Below are 17,828 nucleotides of genomic sequence, written 5' to 3'. Positions count from 1 at the left end.
GACCACATCTGACTGCCCACCCTTTAATCTCCAGCACCTGCATTAAGCATATGTTTGCTTCCCATACATTTATTGGAGGTCTACTCTGTGCCAGAGTATATCATCATACATTATTTTCCCCAAATTATGTAACTTAAAGGCTCATGTAGGATCTCACCCAAGAGGGCACAGAAAACAGCACATTTCTTTCTCTTTTTTTTTTTTTTGAGATGGAGTTTTGCTCTTTTTGCCCAGGCTGGAGTACAATGGTGGGTTCTCGGCTCACTGCAACCTCCGCCTCCAGGGTTCAAGCGATTCTCCTGCCTCAGCCTACTGAGTAGCTGGGATTACAGGCATGCGCCACCACACCTAGCTAATTTTGTATTTTTAGTAGAGACAGGGTTTCTCCATGTTGGCCAGGCGGGTCTCGAACTCCCGACCTCAGGTGATCTGCCCACCTCGGCCACCCAAAGAGCTGGGAGAAAACAGTACATTTCTAAGGAGATTCGCAAGGTGTTCGAAGAGTGACAGTTAAAATGATGTCCAAGTAAAGAGGCCAAAAACAGGACTGAGTGCCCAAAAGATGCTAAGCATGATGGTGAGTCAGGCAAACAAGGCAATGGGCAGATCCCAGAGGATGGCATTTGATGAGGGATGGAGAACTGCAAGGTTAAAGTTTGGCAAGAGATGCAAAATGATGGGGGAAAAAAGGTTCATTGCCCACCCTGTAATGTTTCTAAAGCCAGCACCCCCAATCCTTTACCAAAAGGCTTTACTGAATGTCCTGGTCACCCAACAGAGAACTGACCTGGAGGATTCCCGAAATAAAACTTCATATGGCTACTCCCCACCTTGCCAACTACTGCTCCCGACTCTCCCATTCCTGCCAAATTGCAAAGAATCATCCACCAGCCTCAGGTGCTGAATTATTCAATTATTCTAGTAGCTTTCCAAACACGTGTGCTGCTAGAAAATCTTTCAAAAATAAAAGAATCATGTTATTTAGACTACTAGGTCATTTTTGAAACCTGTCTTGAATTCTCGTTTGCCACGTAATTGTTTTTCTATTAAACAATAGCTCATTGACACCCCACCCTTACTAGCAAAAAGCAGTGGCAAACGTGTAATCACAAGACAATCTGCTGCAGTTACAGTCAGCATTACCTCCCAATCCTGCACAACAGCCCCCGGGCTCCTACCCTTACCCAAAGCTGAGGTACAGCTGCAGCACCTAAAATACTGAACACAGCAGCAGAGGACCTGAAGAACAACTTCCAACTATCCGCCATTCCCCTACACACACACCAACCTGCCTTATTTTAGTTAAAAAGAAAAAAAAAAAAAGCCTTCTACCTTCTAACCTACGTCACAATGCTAAAATCACTAAAATAATCTGTCTGCACTTAGATCTGGAAACCCCTCTTAACACCTCACCCACAACCCACCCACCCACTGCATGTCAGCTCTCTGAGATATTTTCTCCCAGTAGAACAAACCAAAGAAAATGTTTTGGGGAAGAAGGAAAACGAGTCACGAACCAAGCCTTTAAGACTCCATTTTAGCACAGGGCTCCTTTGAGAGCCCTATATTTCTGGCATGAAGATGAGTTCAGCCAAAAAATGCAAGTATTTGCCAGAGGTAGACTTTTAACCCCAAACCAGTAATAAAACTCACATAGGAGAGAATGACATTTTTCATTTAAGTCAAAAGCAGTCTGAGCCACTAAGTCTCAGGCACTTTCCTCTAACCTACAAATAGGGGTACCAGCAAGTTATTACAATATTAGATAGAGTGCATCTCATTGGAAGCAGATTAAGGCAGCCTTGCAGATAATCACTGGTCCACACTAACAATGCATGCTAGCCAAGTGATGGGATGGGGATGGTGCCTGTGTTAGGGACTAAGAAAACATCTGCTTGTTCATACAGGTTGTTGCCAGGAGGAATCAAGCTGCACCATTGCCCCAACTTTCCCAAGTGTCTCCCAGGATGCCAACAGTCACAAGAAAAAGAAAGCACACACACGGCCAGGCACGGTGGCTCACGTTTATAATCCCAGCACTTTGGGAGGCCAAGGTGGGTGGATCACTTGAGGTCAGGAGTTCAAGACCAGCCTGGCCAACATGGTAAAACCTCATCTCTACTAAAAAAAAAAAAAAAAATTACAAAAATTAGCCAGGTGTGGTGGTGCACGCCTGTAATCCCAGCTACTCGGGAGGCTGAGCCAGGAGAATGGCTTGAACCCTGGAGGCAGAGGTTGCGGTGAGCCAAGATCACGCCACTGCACTCCAGCCTGAGTGACAGAGAGAGACTCTGTCTCAAAAAAAATAAAAATAAAAAAAGCACACACTCATGCCTCACTCTTCCTCCTTACTTTTCCTTACCATTCCTCCACCTGTTTAGCTCCATCTCCAGATGCTGGATAACATTCTTCAAAGTCTTGTTTTTCTCTTTCTCTTTTTCATATTTCTTCTTCCATTCTTCTGCTGTCAGTTCTAGGTTCACAGAGACTGTATTCTTGATGGTCTTAGCTCTGGGATTAAAAACATAAGGGGACAATTCAGCTAATTATTACCATTAGCTAAACCAATATGATTAAGCCCAAGATTCCTCATGTCAAAAGACTGGAAATAGGGAAGCAGAAGGGATCCTGTGGCTTTCACCAACCATCCTCCTAATTGGACTAACGGCACCACTAACCCTTGAGGCCTCAAGCTCATCCTTTCCTTTTCTCCTTCACATCCCACTGGTCTCTAAATCTAATGAACATTTATTCGAATTGTCTCAGGGTTTCCTCTTTCTCTCTTCCCTCTGCCACTGTCTTAGTCTGTGTTCTCAGCCATCCTTATGGTTACAGCCTTTTTCAAATGTTCAGTACCCTCCTTTAAGCCCCCTGCATACCATCACCAGATTTACCTGCCTAAGTTGAGGTTCTTTTCAGTTCAATTAACATTTATGAATTTGGGGTACACCAAGACAGATAGACGAGGTCTCTGTCCTCTTGGAGACTGCAGTTTCTTATACCAATGATACACAGACAGAAATAATAGAATCAATTATTTCTCTTCCTCACCTGTGGTACCCAAAACCACCCCTGATGTATTTATCACATCAACACATGCCTCATAGGTCAGGTGGGTCCCACAGCTGAGTAAGGCTGGCCAGAGGACACCATGGCTCCCTGCTGAGCACACACCCGCCCCCCCCATCACAGCCCGTCATCACCATGCGGTGAGGAGGCCCCACAGTATTCAGATCATCCTATTTTCCAAGAAAAATCAGAAACTGTTTTTTCTTTAATTTGTGTCTCCCAGTTTTAAACTATTTATAAAAACAATGTGTGGGACAAACAAACATGCCTAATGGCCACCATTTTGCCACTTCCAGTATAAGAGATGATGCGATCTCTGGGGCACATGGCCTGGGGGGTTGAGATGCCACAGGGATGTACCTGGAGAGTAACCCAAAGGGGCAACTGTGGAGAGCAAATCAGTAGCTGCACCAAGTGATACCAAAAACAAAAGCCATGACTCAGCTCAGCATGCACAGAAACGAACACCTAAGTGGCCTTGTCCAATTAAAAAGGAAACTCCACTTAGGCTTACTTTCAAGAAGGTAAAGCTTCATTAAAAAATATGTGATATCCTGTTTTATTTGCTATTGACTTTTTCATTTTGAACTTCCAACAGTTCTTACACCGTCATATTTGCCAGCACAATCTGATTTGTGATTCGGGTTAATTACCGTTGTCAGCAAATGACATCCTGATTTCTATTTCAGTGCAAGAAATTCAGCAGTCCTCACCAGCACTACAGATGTCATTCCAAAAATTCATTGCTAAAGCAGACAACTAAATAACCCAACTGTCAAAAGAGGAGTTTAACAACTTCAATGTAAGACTCCATTTAAGAATTAGGATAACTCTCTCTTGTTCACTGTAGCTTGAGGCTGCAATCCCTAGAAGTGCTTTGAGTCTAATTTTTCAAATAACAGCAATTTTATTACTACTTTAAAGTCTGGTCCTGTTTGACACTCTCACCTCTCCTCCTGACATCCTCAGGCAGTACTGTGGATGCTTCTCAGATGCAAGCACAAACATTACAAGCATCCATTATCAACTTAGTAAGGCAAAAAGTGAAAAATAACTCATGGCTAAAATGCTTATGGACACTTAAGGGCACACTTCAAGGCTACTAATCTTACTTTTTAAATCATAAAGAGTCCCTTGATAACTTCACATGATACCAGAAAGAGAAAGCTAAAGCCTCTATGCTATACTCAGGCAGGTTTAGCCAGAGGCATATTTTGTGAGCAGACTCAGCAAGGTTATCACCATTGGTGTAACTGGTCCTCATTCTCAAAATACTTTTAACAATTGCCTAGGAAATCCCCACTTCTGTAGTAATCGGGGTCCTGGAAGGAAACAGACCACCTGCTCAAATTGCATGATTTGAAGAGTGCTTAACAAAGGTTTGGAAAGGTGTTGGGAAATAACAAGGGTTAATGTGGTACCCACATTAGGGACTGGGGAGCCATTACTACCCTTAAGCTGAAGGGGAGCCAGAGAGAGAAGGCTAGAAGGAAAAGATTGCCTGGTAGGTATGAATTGTCACAGCCATTGGTAGGGACACAGCCAACCCAAAATGATCTGGCAGGGAAGAAGCCAGGAAATAAATACCCGGACCTCACGCTCTTCTCTCCTTCTGATCGCCTGCCTGTGTTCCTTCCCCACGGGTGTAACATAACTGGAAGCCAGAGGAAAAGGAGCCCATTGCATGAGCCCAAACCAGTCACCCTCCTAAGTCACAAAGCAGGACAGAGATGGTGCAGAAAAGATCCAGAGGAGTAGCTAAAGATGCGCAACCCAACTTCCATTTGGAACTCAAATAACAGTGGGAATCTGTGTCTCACACTGGAGCCCGAGACTTCATTCAGCCCAAATGGGGCAAGCGGGGCCTTCACATCCACTAAAGGTAGAATATGAAAAAATCAGCTTACACTGAGAGAGAAAGATGTTAATTCTCCTAAAATTGCTCTAGAGAATTAAAGTAATCCCCACCTTCCCCCAAAAAAACCCTAAGGGGTTTGTGTATGTGTATAGAAATTGGCAAGCTGATTCTGAAATTTATAATAGAAATGAAAAAAAAAAGAATAGCAAGGACAGTTCTGAAGATCAAAGTTAGAGGATTGAACATCATCACTTTCTTATAAAGTAAAACTGATCAAATTGTCAGAAATCTTGGAATAAAAACAGAATAAATTGTCCAGAAACAGGCACTCAGATGACAGTCATCTGACTTATGACAAAAGTGTCCATAGAGAAGAGTGGAAAGGGCAGTCCTTTCAATACATGGCACTGAGGGGAAGTGGAACTTTATTCCTCACCCCCAATACCATGTAAAAAATTCTGTTCCAGAGAGATCCCAGACATAAATGTGAAAAGTAAAACAATAAAGCTTCCACAGAAAATATAGGACAGTATCTTCAAGACCTTGGGGTAGGCAAAGTTTTTTTTTTTTTGAGACAGAGTCTCACTCTGTTGCCCAGGCTGGAGTGCAGTGGCACAATCTCGGCTCACTGCAACCTCTGCCTCCCGGGTTCAAGTGATTCTCCTGCCTCAGCCTCCCGAGTAGCTGGGACTACAGGCGCCCGCCACCACGCCCAGCTAATTTTTTTGTATTTTTAGTAGAGACAGGGTTTCACCATGTTGGCCAGGCTGGTCTCAAAATCCTGACCTCTGGTGATCCGCCTACCTCAACCTCCCAAAGTGCTGGGATTGCAGGCATGAGCCACCATGCCTGGCCAAAGATTTCTTAAATAGAACATAAAAGAAAAAATAAATTTGACTTCATTAAAATTAAAAACTTGTCTTCATTAGAAGCCACCATTAAGACAGTTAAAAGGCAAGTTACAAGGTGGGAGAAGATATATAAAATACATATACCTGACAAAGGACTTACCCAAAATAACTGCTTTAAATCAATAAGAAAAAACTGGGCAAAGACTTGGAACAGGCACTTTATAAAAGAAGTGCCAATAAAACACCTCCTGAAAAGGTGTTTAACATCATTAGCCTTCAGGGAATGCAAATTAAAACTACAATGAGATACCTTCCCACACCCAATAGAATGGCTAAAAAATTTAAAACTGATAATGCCAACTGTTGCTGAGAATGAGCAATGACTATAACAGTCAACTACTACTGGAGAGAGTGTGAATTATTACTGTCGTTTTGGAAAAATCTTTAGTAGTATCTACTAAAGTAGAATATTTCACACCTTATGACCTGCTCCCACCTAACAGAAATGAGGACATATATTCACCCAAAGGCATGACAACCAATGTCATAGTAACTTTATTTATAATCACCCCAACATGAAAATAATCCAAATATCCATCAACAATAGAATGGATACCTATAAGCCATATTCATACAATAGAATACTATATAACTGTGAAAAATGAACTACTACTACACCTAACAATGTAGATGAAGTTCACAGATAAAACGCTGTATGAAAGAAGCCAGATACAAAACAGTACTGGGTGATTTCATTTTCAAATAATTCAAAGACAGGCAATAACAATCTATGTTGATGGAAGTTAGGGTGACAATTACCCTTGAGAGTTCGGTGTTGACTGAGAGGGTCAAAGAGAGAGGCTTCCAAGATCCTGGGTGGTGGTCACATGTGTATATATATTTATAAAAAAAAATTAGTTATGCACTTAAGTTTATGTATTTTACTATATTATATTCAATAAAAATTGAGTTAAGAAAAACAAACTGATGGAGAAAGAAATCAAGTCAGATACAAGAATTTCCAGATGCAGAATAAACTAGGGTTACTAAGAGAGATACTGAATTTTTGTGCCCTGAGGTTTATTGTTTTTTTTTTTTTTTTTTTTTTTTTACTAGAACAAACATTCTCCTATCTAGGATGTTAAAAACAATCTTGCAAAGTGAAATAAAGAGGGTCTCAGTCTCTCATTCTCCCAAGAGACTAAGAGTAAAAGGATATAGAATATCTACAATTTCTTTTTCTTTTTACCATCAACTTTGGCAAATTTAGAGAATGAAGGAGCCTAATGATCACTAGCTTCTTTCTATTTGGACATTCAAAATTCACTTTCCCTTAATTAGCTTTAACTGATTTCAGAGGAAAAAAAGAAAAAAAAATCAGTTTCCTCCTTTGTTAATATCTAGCTAGTTGCCATCAATGCGGTTACACAGTGTTCTGCTGTCTTGTTGTGGTTTGGATCTAGGGCGTGAGGCTGCCAGTGAACATGATCCGGAACTTGGGCACAGGCCCACACGTGTGCATTTATTGTTCAGCCTTGTTTCCAAAAGAACTTCAGGTAGCTTACAGGGAGACACAAAATCAAGAAGACAGCAGAAATTAAGAAGTGCTCTTAAGGCAGGTTTTGTGATTTTGTCTAGCAGAAGCTATATACAGCAATTGTGATACCAACCAGCCTTATGGTTCCAGGACATTATCTCTTTGATATAGAGAAACAAGTCAATGACCCATAGAAGCCTTATTCTAGCCACTTACTGACTGCTCACTCATCCTCTTTAAAGGTGAAACTGGCTGTGATACTATTTGATTAATCCAAAGTGGCCTGATCATTCACAAAGAAATACAAAAGTGGGTTCTTCATTTCTAAAAACTCTCAGGGTTTTCAATCAGAGCCCTCAATGTATATACAGATATCAATGTCTATTCCACAAGTTATAACCGCAGCAGGAACTGAGCAAAATCCTAACCAAAGGCTACTCTGGGAAAGAACTTTAATTCAGTCCTAAGTTTATACCCTAACAGCAAGACCTGCTTTTAAAACTGAGTCAAATTGTGAGGATGCCATTATCAGGGAATCTGTTTTGCATCTTTTCCTTGTTTTGGCTTGCTTCAAGTCAAGCACTACTTTAATGATATATGATCTAGGCATGCCCCAGGTATAAAATCTCTTCTCCCCACAGGGAGGGAACCAGGACCAAATTTTTTAAAGACCTCAAAGCTAATGAATGTTAACCACCCTTAGGAAAGGCAGACCAAGCCTAGTGGACAAAGATCAGAGGCCACAGTACATCTTCCATCTAGATACTGCTACAGAGACAGTTAAGTCAGTAAAGATTCTCTTAGATATATTCTACTAAAGAATGGAAAGAGGAAACTACCTCCCCATTGTCGAGCATTCTGTTATTTTCTTCCCAGCACCACTCAATCCTTCCATCACTGAATTTGCAGTTTACATTTCAGAAGCACATGGCCAGCTTCCAAGACTGCTGATGCTACCCATCTCCACCACCGAGGTTAAGCACCCACATGTGATGACACTGAAGGCACCCTCGTAAGTTGGCACTTGAACGAAGCCCTCCTTGAGTGGGGAGAAGACCTAGAACCACTGCATTCTGATGAGTCTCATCCCCACCTGCTTTCCCAGTGGTTTCCTACACTCATATTTCCTGGCCACAGTCAGTTCTAAATGACACGAGGAGTGCCTACCTTTGGCGTTTCTTCTGTTTACTTTGGCTTCCCTGGAATAACCACAAAGATATTTGTTCTTGGTACCTTCATACCTTTTATTTCAGCATCCTTCTTTTCTCACCAGGTGTTCAGGATAGTGCTGGCATTTGAATAAGGAGCTCTAGACAACCTCACACCTTCAGCACACAGAATAAATCTGTCATGTGTGATTCTGCACTGTGAATGGTGTGTGAGAGACAGAAACGGAGATTCTCCCACTGTGGGAGCAGGAGAGGATAGAGAGTATAGCATTCTTCACTATCAGAGCTCTCCAGAGAAACAGAACCAATAGGAGAAAGATAAAGACAGATGATAGATAAATATAGATAATATATTATATATCCTATTGTATATATAAAATCCTACTATATATACATACATACATATATATGATATACCTCACTCTTTTATTTACTTAAGAAACTGACTCACATGACTATGGGGGCTGGCAAGTTTGAAAGCCATAAGGCAGGCTGACAGCTGCAAACTGAGGCTGGAGTTGATGTTACCATCCTGAAGCACAATTTTTGTCTTCTCCATGAAACCTCCATTTTAGCTCTTAAGGCCTTTAACTGAGTGGATGATGCTCGCCCTTATTATTGAGAGTAATCTGCCTTGCTTAAAGTCAGCTGATTGTAAGTGCTAAGCATATTCTACAAAGTACCTTCACAGCAACGCCTCGATTTGTATTTGATTAAGTAACTGGGCACTATGGCCTAGCCAAGCTGACATATAAAACTAATCAGAAACTAACCTTCCAATCTGCTCTGAGACCTAGTTCCCATCTAAAACACCCAAACCTTCTTCTGAAAGGACCACTGCTCCAAAGCACCTTCCCAGCTTCTGGTGAGGCCATTTCCCTGCTTGTGAGGGAAGGAGGGAGGGCAGGAGGGAGAAATGAAAATTTTGTGTCTTTAAAAAGTTCTAGTCTCCTGAGAAACATTCAGAAATGACATGGATAAGGACTTGGCATCTAGTTAAATGTATGTCACCCACAGTATTTCTTCCCTCCAAGGGCAAAAATTAACCCTACTGGTGTTTCAGCAACAGGCCCCCCAACAGGAATGATTTAAGCCTTTTTTTCTTTCATGTCAAAGTGTAGCCAAGTGTCTGCCTTGGCCAAAATGCTCATTCTACTCTCGTAGGTAATGTGTTCTCATGTTCTGGTGACATAAATTTCATATGCACACTATTCAGGCTCTGCCTAATCTAGCTACCACTAAACTGGCAGATGACACAATTAAAATGATGACACGACTTTTTTAAGTGCACATCAGGAAAAGAAAAAAGATTATTACTTTCCCTAAGATATCAATTCTCCTTCCACATTCAACATACAAACAAAGCCTCAAATTATTCATGCTGGATCAATCAAAACTCCCAGTGCCAAAGATGTGCCGATTCAGGTCTTCCTAACCACATTGGTCTGCCCCCTCAGAGGGCCTCTTTCCCTTTATTACCACCCCAAATCAAGGTACATTAAATAGGCTTCCAACACAATTGGGTGATTTGAGTTCACACTTCTAAAACATAAATATCTTTTTCAAATAGCGCTGTAAAAGTAGTTGAGAAGAGTAATTAAAGACTACAAAATAGAATTCTGGAAGCCAGAAGAAAAGAATCAATAAAAGTGCTCTAATTTGAGTCTGGCTTTTTGACTTTCTACTGCCTCGTAATTCAAGTGCTGCCTCCTCAGCTAGATTAAAAGCTCTTTGAGAACACAGGAGACAGCACTTACTTCTTTAATGGCACGATGCTGGGCATTCAGGAAACTAAAGGAAACAACCCCGACTGAATGGAAGAACCAGAATGCTGGAAACCATCATTCTCAGTAAACTAACACAGGAACAGAAAACCAAACACCGCATGTTCTCACTCATAAGTGGGAGTTAAACAATGAGAACACATGGATGGATCACATATCGGGGCCTGTCGGGGGGTGGGGGGCTAGGGGAGGGATAGCATTAGGAGAAATACCTAATGTAGGTGACGGGTTGATGGGTGCAGCAAACCACCATAGCACATGTATACCTATATAACAAACCTGCATGTTCTGCCCATGTATCCCAGAACTTAAAAGTATAATTTAAAAAACAAAAATAGAAATAGACATGGTAAATTTTTCCCTTTAAATTCCAGTATCTAACCTATAATCCTGAAGAATGCTAACAGGACTCTTGGTAGAGTGCCTTCAGGGATCTGCAGATTGAACTGCTTCGAAACACATACTACACTGTGTTATTCAGAACATCAGTACAGTCAAGCAGAACAAACGTGTACTCTCTTCACGTCCTTGAAAGAACCACAAAGGAATAACGGAGGAACCTCATGCTGCCCTAAGGTTTGGCCACCTCTGCAGTAAGAATATAATGAACACTCATTACAATGAATTTGGGATGTGCCCGGCAGTCTTTTCTGAGTTCAAAGTGCTTAATCTCATTAGCTATCACATACCATGTCTAATCCGATGTTCAGTCTTGTGTCTGCTGTATAATTGGGTTCAATGAGTATATTTAACAATACAGCAGGTATTGGCCCCATAGAATAGCTCAGCATCCTTAAATAATCCATTAACTAACTTGGGGATAAAGGGAAAGGAACGAAACCTCACACATTTCCAATAATAGTTTGGAAAGCAAACCAGATCCAAACCCAACCAAACTTCTGGACGTAATGGCATCAATGTTCAGCAACTGCCCTAACTTTCCAAGTAACCTTACACAATAAGCTTTAGATTCATCTGTTCATTCATTTGATAAGCATTTATTTATTGACCACCTACTGTGAACTAGTTGTGCAGTGGTTGATGAGAAACTAATGTCTGTGACAAACTCAGTCCCTGCTGTCACAGAGAGCAGAATCTAGATGACTCTGATAAAAGAATGTAGACCGACCTATTTCATTTGAAAACATAATTTATATTACTTTTTACTTCCTGGAAGCCCAAATTACCTGCAGCATTTTTTATTTGTTCATTCCCAAAATGTAATTCTAATTCTACTTTATTTAATCCTCTCCCTTATATGACAGTGCTGTCCCTTACAGTGCATTATATTCAGTCTAGTCCCATCTACTACTATGACCTTTTCAAGCCGCAATACTGTGAGATTATTTAAGACGAAGGAAAAGCAGAACTTGCAATCACCGATAGCCTGCCATCGGTCACGGACTTTTTTACCTGGACTCATGCCAGCCCTTGTGCTAGGTAAAAACTGAAGCAACTCATATAATCCTCCCAATATTCTTGAAAGTAGGCATTATTATATATCTCTCTGTGGGAGAGAAGACTGGGGCTCAGAGGGGAGAGGTAAACAAGAGAATGGGTCAATAGCAGAATTAGCTTCAACACTGGGCTTACTGACCCAAAGGGCTGTGCTCAGACACTGCATCCTAGGACATCCTACATGTTTAGTCACTTACTGGCTGTGTGGTCTCAGGTATGGTATCCAATGGCTTTGCACCTAAGCCTTGATTTCATACCCTGTACAAAGGTGAGATAATTGCTGTCAGAAGTGCTATAATTTTGACACACCTGACATATATTAGACACTAACTGATATTCAAAATGCTTCCTGTAGACAGCTGCAAATACCTCCTGATAACAGCAATGCCCCAAGGTGACTGGGCCTTGCAAAGATAGCCAATGCCCCACGGTGACTCTGGCTTGAGAAGAGCCAGAATATTTTTGCTTTGCTGGTAAGGATTTTTTTTGAAGAGATGTTTCCTTTATAAATGCACTTAGAGCTGGTTTGCTCAAACATGTCTTCAGAGGAAATTGTTAAAGCTCAAGTTTAAGACACTGGGCAGGATGCGATCTTGTTTTCCATAAGCAGATGCTGGTTTGTGGGTTTCTGAGACCCTTGAGGAAAGTAGGTGTTATCCTACTGCAACCCCCTTGGCCTAAGCATTTAACTAATCAAGGAAGCGATTTGGGAGGAAGTAAAGGACCCAAATCCAGTTTAAAAGATATATTAGGTCTACAACATTTCAATATAATTATTATTTATTTAGACATCCCACAGGTGCCACGGCTGTGTAATTCTATGTTCTGTTGAGGGCTCAGGAAATGACTGGGGCTTAATGCAGTTTAAACAAGCCATAACAATTTCCCAGACAGAATGCCCACCCCCATCTGTCCTTTCTCTCATCTTAAACTATTCCTTAGGCATAACCACACAACACACACTCCCAGGGAGAAGGCAGGGAAGTGCTCTGTGCATCCATGTACAAATGAGCTAGTTAAAGCCCACAGAGCACTGGTGACTTGTCTAAAGATCACATGATTGTTCAGAATTAAACAAACCGAAGGCAGCAGAATCCACATCCAACCTCAGCCCTCTGAGCCCTCATCCAACATCAGAGCTCGCTGAGCACTGAAGATGTTCAGATCGCCCAATCCACAGAACCGCAAGCACTCTGGGAATGAACACTGAGGCACGAGGGCTGAAGGATAGAACCTAAACACTGGAACTGAGGAAACATGCCTGAAGGAGGTCAGGCCTTGGACAGTGGGAGGGGGTAGGTAAAAAAGAAAGTGACAAGAAAAAAAGATATGAACCAAACCACACATGTAACTCTTGCTTTACGATTATGGAGTCGTACCTGCTGCCCACCTATGGACACCTCCCAGGGATCTAGGAAGTCTCATGTGGGAATTTTTAAAAGTAGGAAGCTGTCATCTGCATCTCTTCTCAGCATACAGTCCAGACCTCCTACCTCCAGTGCTGGTAAAGATTCCTTCCCCTTCTTTTCCTTTTATACCTCTCTTCTGCATTCACCTAATTTTCTGGGTGTTTTATCAGCAACTGTGCAATGGATCGCAAATACCGGAGCTAAAGGCAGTTATCAATCTTGAGATTTACACACTTGAAATAATATGAACCTAAAAGGTAGACTCCAGTGCCATGAAGAACAAAAGTAACACCCCAATGCATTTCCAATTCACATCTGAAATGAGTTTGGTTGTTCCGTTTTGTTTTAAACACCATACATTTGACTGGCATGTTCTTGCCCATTATTTTAAAATATAATTATTGCTTTGGCTTCAATAAGTGATGCCTCAAGTTTACATATCACCTGCTAGATGTAATTTAGTAAAAGGCTGTTTGTCCCTTACTTTGTGATTCTCTGACAATAGCCCCTTGCCACTCACTATTCTTTTTTTTTTTTTTTGAGACAGTCTCGCTCTGTCGCCCAGGCTGGAGTGCAGTGGTATGATCTTGGCTCACTGCAACCTCCACCTCCTGAGTTCAAGCAATTCTCCTGACTCAGCCTCCCAAGTAGCTGGGACCACAGGCGCATGCCACCACGGCCGGCTAATTTTTGTATTTTTAGTAGAGACAGGGTTTCACCATGTGGGCCAGGCTGGTCTCAAACTCCTGACCTCAGGCAATCCACCCGCCTTGGCCTCCCAAAGTGCTGGGATTACAGGTGTGAGCCATTGCACCCAGCCTTGCCATTCACTCTTAAGACCCAAGACCTAGCACAGAGGATGGGTCCTGAGAGACCACACGTACCTCTGTCCGAACATCAGTGTGGACTTGGTCTCAGCCTCATTGAAGACAGAAGGAGAACAGCAAATGACGATGGTGGTTCTGCAGTTCCCACCCAAAGAGTCCTGAAGAATCCGAGTCATCTTGCTGTCCCGGTATGGCACATGTGTTTTCTATTTAGGAAAAGAAAAAGTATTGGTTTTGACAGCCCATTCTGAGAAAAACACAGAGGCAAGCAAGTCAGGGATGAAGACACTGAGCTTAGAAACCGAGTAAAACAAGAATTTGTGGCTGGGTCTTTGGATCTTGCCAAAGTTTAGAATGCCCATTCTTTGACCTATGTCATAGGAAATTAGCATCACCATTCATACTTTTTAGTAGATGGGAACTCCCAGCAAGCAGGCATCCATAGCCAGGATTCCCTCTGTCCTCTTCCAAACAGAAAAACAAACCAGCCTTTGGGGTGTGTGGCAAAGGGACTATGAGGCCCCAAAAGGTGGTTTCTCATAATATTACTTAATAGATGGGGGCAGGATCACTTACTGTCCCTTCTGCCAAAGCAGAGATCACATTTCCAAGAGCAGACAAAGACTTATTGATATTTTTAGCTTCGTCAAGAACAGCTCCCTCGGCACCAGTTTTGCTGACCTACCAGAGAGAAAAGAAAGCAGTGAGCAGCACAGGACGGCAGAAGCACAAAGTAGAAATTTCAAATTCACACGAGGGCAAAGGGGGACAGCCTCCTGGAAAGCAAGGAAAAATAAAAGTAGAGAAGACCCACAGTGATAAAAAACCATCCTTCGTGTATGAGGCTGGGGATTTGGTCTCTCCTGCCATCATTTTCCTCTCAATTGGGTTTTAGTGGAATAGCTGAAATACCTCAAATGGTGGAGCTGCAGATGCTTCCCCAGGGGCCATCCATCCAGGGAAACCAGGCTCCAGAAGTGCTGTCACCATGGGTAGCTCGGGCCCTGGGAGACTGAGCCGCAGTCCCCATGCCGAAGGGAGCCCAGAGGGAAGCATGAAGAGAAAATATTGTCCTGAGCCACAATGAATGGGCATATTGGAAAAATGTAAGTTACGGGCTCCAAGTTCAGGCAGATGACTAGAGGCGGTAGGGTTGGTTATCTAGAGTCCGTTCCTTCCCTACTTATTCTCATAGCAAGGAAAAAATGAAAAATATCCAAAAAGCAAAAAACTTGGGAGAGAAATGAAAAGTCAAATGTATACTGCATCGTAAATTTGTCTTTTTTCCTCTGCAGCCAGAGGGACCATGCATAGTTTCTCCTTTGCTGCGTTATTGCTGGTAATTTCATCTTGACAGCATTTATTCTAGGTAGAGGGCAGTTTACAGATGCTAGAAAAAAGGGAACTCAACATGATTCATGTCTCTGCTGACTGGACAAACGATGCAGGGGGAGCAGCTGCTCTCTCAAGAAAGGAAGTGGGGAAGCAATGTTCAACTACGCAAATTCGAATCACATATAAAGGAGAAACTCCTGATGACAGAAATGAATTCATGTCCAGGGGGAGGTTTCTTTCCAAATAGAATAGATTCTCAACTCCCTTGGACTTGTTTGTGTGGTACCCCTGCTTACACATAGAGAAATCATGTAGCTGATGGGTCACAAATAGTAGCAGTCTATGTTATTTTAAGCACTGTTATTTTAAGATGCTTTCTTATTTGAGCATCTTAACTCCATGAAATATACAAGGCAGGTACCATCTATCACCCTCCTTCGACAGACAGGAAACTGAGCCCCAGAAATGTCAAACTGCCAGCCTAAGGGAAGAACACCATTCAGGGGAGACGGGAACTAAAGCCCAGAGTTCTTTTCTACAAGATCACACTGACACAGTCATATGGACACATCTAGGGCAAAGGAAAACAGGTGTGTGTGAGCAAAAGAAACTACGTGAAGGACATGATTTCAAACACCTCATAAATATCATTAGCAATAACCACTGACACTGTGCAGAGGCAGGCCTCCACTCCAGTCTGTCAGTATTAAGCAGTTTTCAGGTGTATTTAGGCTCTAAATAACAATAATCCTCCATTATTTCCATCTGTTGTACGTCTGTTTAACTAAAGTTACAAGCCCGTACTAGTAAATTTTTTTTTTTTTTTTTGAGACAGAGTCTCCCTCTGTCACCCAGGCTGGAGTGCAGTGGCACGATCTCGGCTCACTGCAAGCTCCGCCTCCCGGGTTCACGCCATTCTCCTGCCTCAGCCTCCCGAGTAGCTGGGACTACAGGTGCCCGCCACCATGCCTGGCTAATTTTTTTTTTTTTTTTTAATTTTTAGTTGAGACACGGTTTCACCATGTTAGCCAGGATGGTCTCGATCTCCTGACCTCATGATCCGCCCACCTCGGCCTCCCAAAGTGCTGGGATTACAGGCGTGAGCCACTGCACCCGGCCCCATACTAGTAAAATTTTAGATTCCCAACTAGAAATACCCGGATGACTTTCTGCTCAGGTTTTACAAATGCATACTAGAGGACAATCCAAGTAACCATTACTCACGTGGATGTAAGTGGCCATAACTTGGCATACGGGAACTCAGTGATGTAGTGCAATAAGTGGGGATCAATCATACAGTTAGGGAGACTGACCAAGCTTCAAGGCTGGCCTTCATGGGGACAATCAGCATGATGTCAGTGATGATGGAGGCCAGAGGGCATTGTGCACATGGCCTTGCTCTATGATGTTGCTCGAGGGAGGTCAGTGCCTCCAGACAGGGTGTGGCAGCAGAAGCCTCCACTGGTGCTATGGAAGTGAGACTGGAGATTCTGGGAAGCCTATTGCTCTGGAGTACAGCCCCAGCCAGGGCCTGGGAGGGCATGGGTCAGGGTGTAGACGACAAAAGAGAATCCGGACAAAACCAGAGAACAGTAAAGGCTTGCCGCTGAGGCTGATTACAGGCCACACTTCATGAGAGAGCCAAGGCCTTCCACATGGGACACCGTCAGCCCATGCCTACTGCTGGGAGAACCAGGGAATGCAGGGAGCGCCCCAGGTTCCAGACCTTCTATCAGCAAAACAAACCTGCAGAGGCAGGACTGCCACATTCCAATGGCAAAGCTCGTTCCTGGCCTATTAGAGTCGGGTACAACATGGGATTTTCTCTTTTCTCAGAAGTTCATATCCCTCCCACATGTGTGCAGCTGCCTCTGCCACAGGCTAAGTCAAACCAACTGTTGCCTCATATCATCATAAGGGCCCATCAGGGATAAATCAGAGTTGGCATGCAAAGCACCTGCCTGTGACACCAATAGGAGACCTCAGGACCAGAAAAGAAAGCAGGGACAAAGGGTTAAATGTAATAACACCTTGGCAGAGCCTCAGAAACTTTAAAAGCTCTTTAAAGCAGGAAAATAGAAAAGCATAAAAATTATACCATTGCACAATGAAGCAAATAAAAGGGGAAAATTATAGATAATACAAATAAAGAACAAATTACCTTTTCGCTCCCAGCCAAATCAACCAAATAAAGTTTCCCACTGAGTTTTTTTTCAGTCTCTACATTCTCTTGTTTAATATTTATCAGGAAGATACTGTGACTTCTAGAGCTGTGTTCATTCATGTCTGAAAAGGAAAATAGTTTACTGCTCTACAAAGAACATGTAGGTTTAGGTAGCAATCCTCTCATTTAAAAAGCATAACAAGTCATGCCTAATAGATCCATTTCATTGAAGTAAGTCCAGTCAATTCTAAAAATTATCTGAGACCCCTGTTTCTTCTGAAAAACAATGCTCATTCTAGAAATACAAGATTTTAAATGTCTTCAAGGAGCAAAGAAGTTAATCTAAAAATCTTAGTCAACAGTTTAA

At 42.4% G+C, this 17,828-nt stretch overlaps 1 protein-coding gene across 5 annotated transcripts in view; it reads right to left on the bottom strand.

Annotated features, from left to right (window-relative positions):
- Positions 1 to 17,828, bottom strand: part of KIF5C (kinesin family member 5C) — a 151,533-nt gene that overhangs the window by 62,278 nt on the left and 71,427 nt on the right. For 3 of the 5 annotated variants that reach the window (NR_111932.2, XM_011511157.3, XM_047444258.1), the window contains exons 1-4: positions 16,522 to 16,607; positions 14,539 to 14,643; positions 14,020 to 14,168; positions 2,363 to 2,511 (exon numbers count right to left, since the gene is read on the bottom strand). Coding sequence is in view for 4 of the 5 variants with exons in the window: in XM_011511157.3 (XP_011509459.1) it covers positions 2,363 to 2,511; positions 14,020 to 14,168; positions 14,539 to 14,643; positions 16,522 to 16,539 (421 nt within the window). In the remaining variant the exon portion in view is untranslated. Of the gene's footprint in view, positions 1 to 2,362; positions 2,512 to 14,019; positions 14,169 to 14,538; positions 14,644 to 16,521; positions 16,608 to 17,458; positions 17,584 to 17,828 lie in introns of those variants that run through there. The other 2 variants (NM_004522.3, XM_017004062.2) reach the window with 1 other exon arrangement.

The sequence above is a fragment of the Homo sapiens genome, chromosome 2, assembly GCF_000001405.40.
Source record: "Homo sapiens chromosome 2, GRCh38.p14 Primary Assembly".
NCBI lineage: Eukaryota > Metazoa > Chordata > Mammalia > Primates > Hominidae > Homo > Homo sapiens.
Note: the sequence above shows the minus strand (reverse complement) of the source record. Positions and strands in the feature narration are given on the sequence as shown.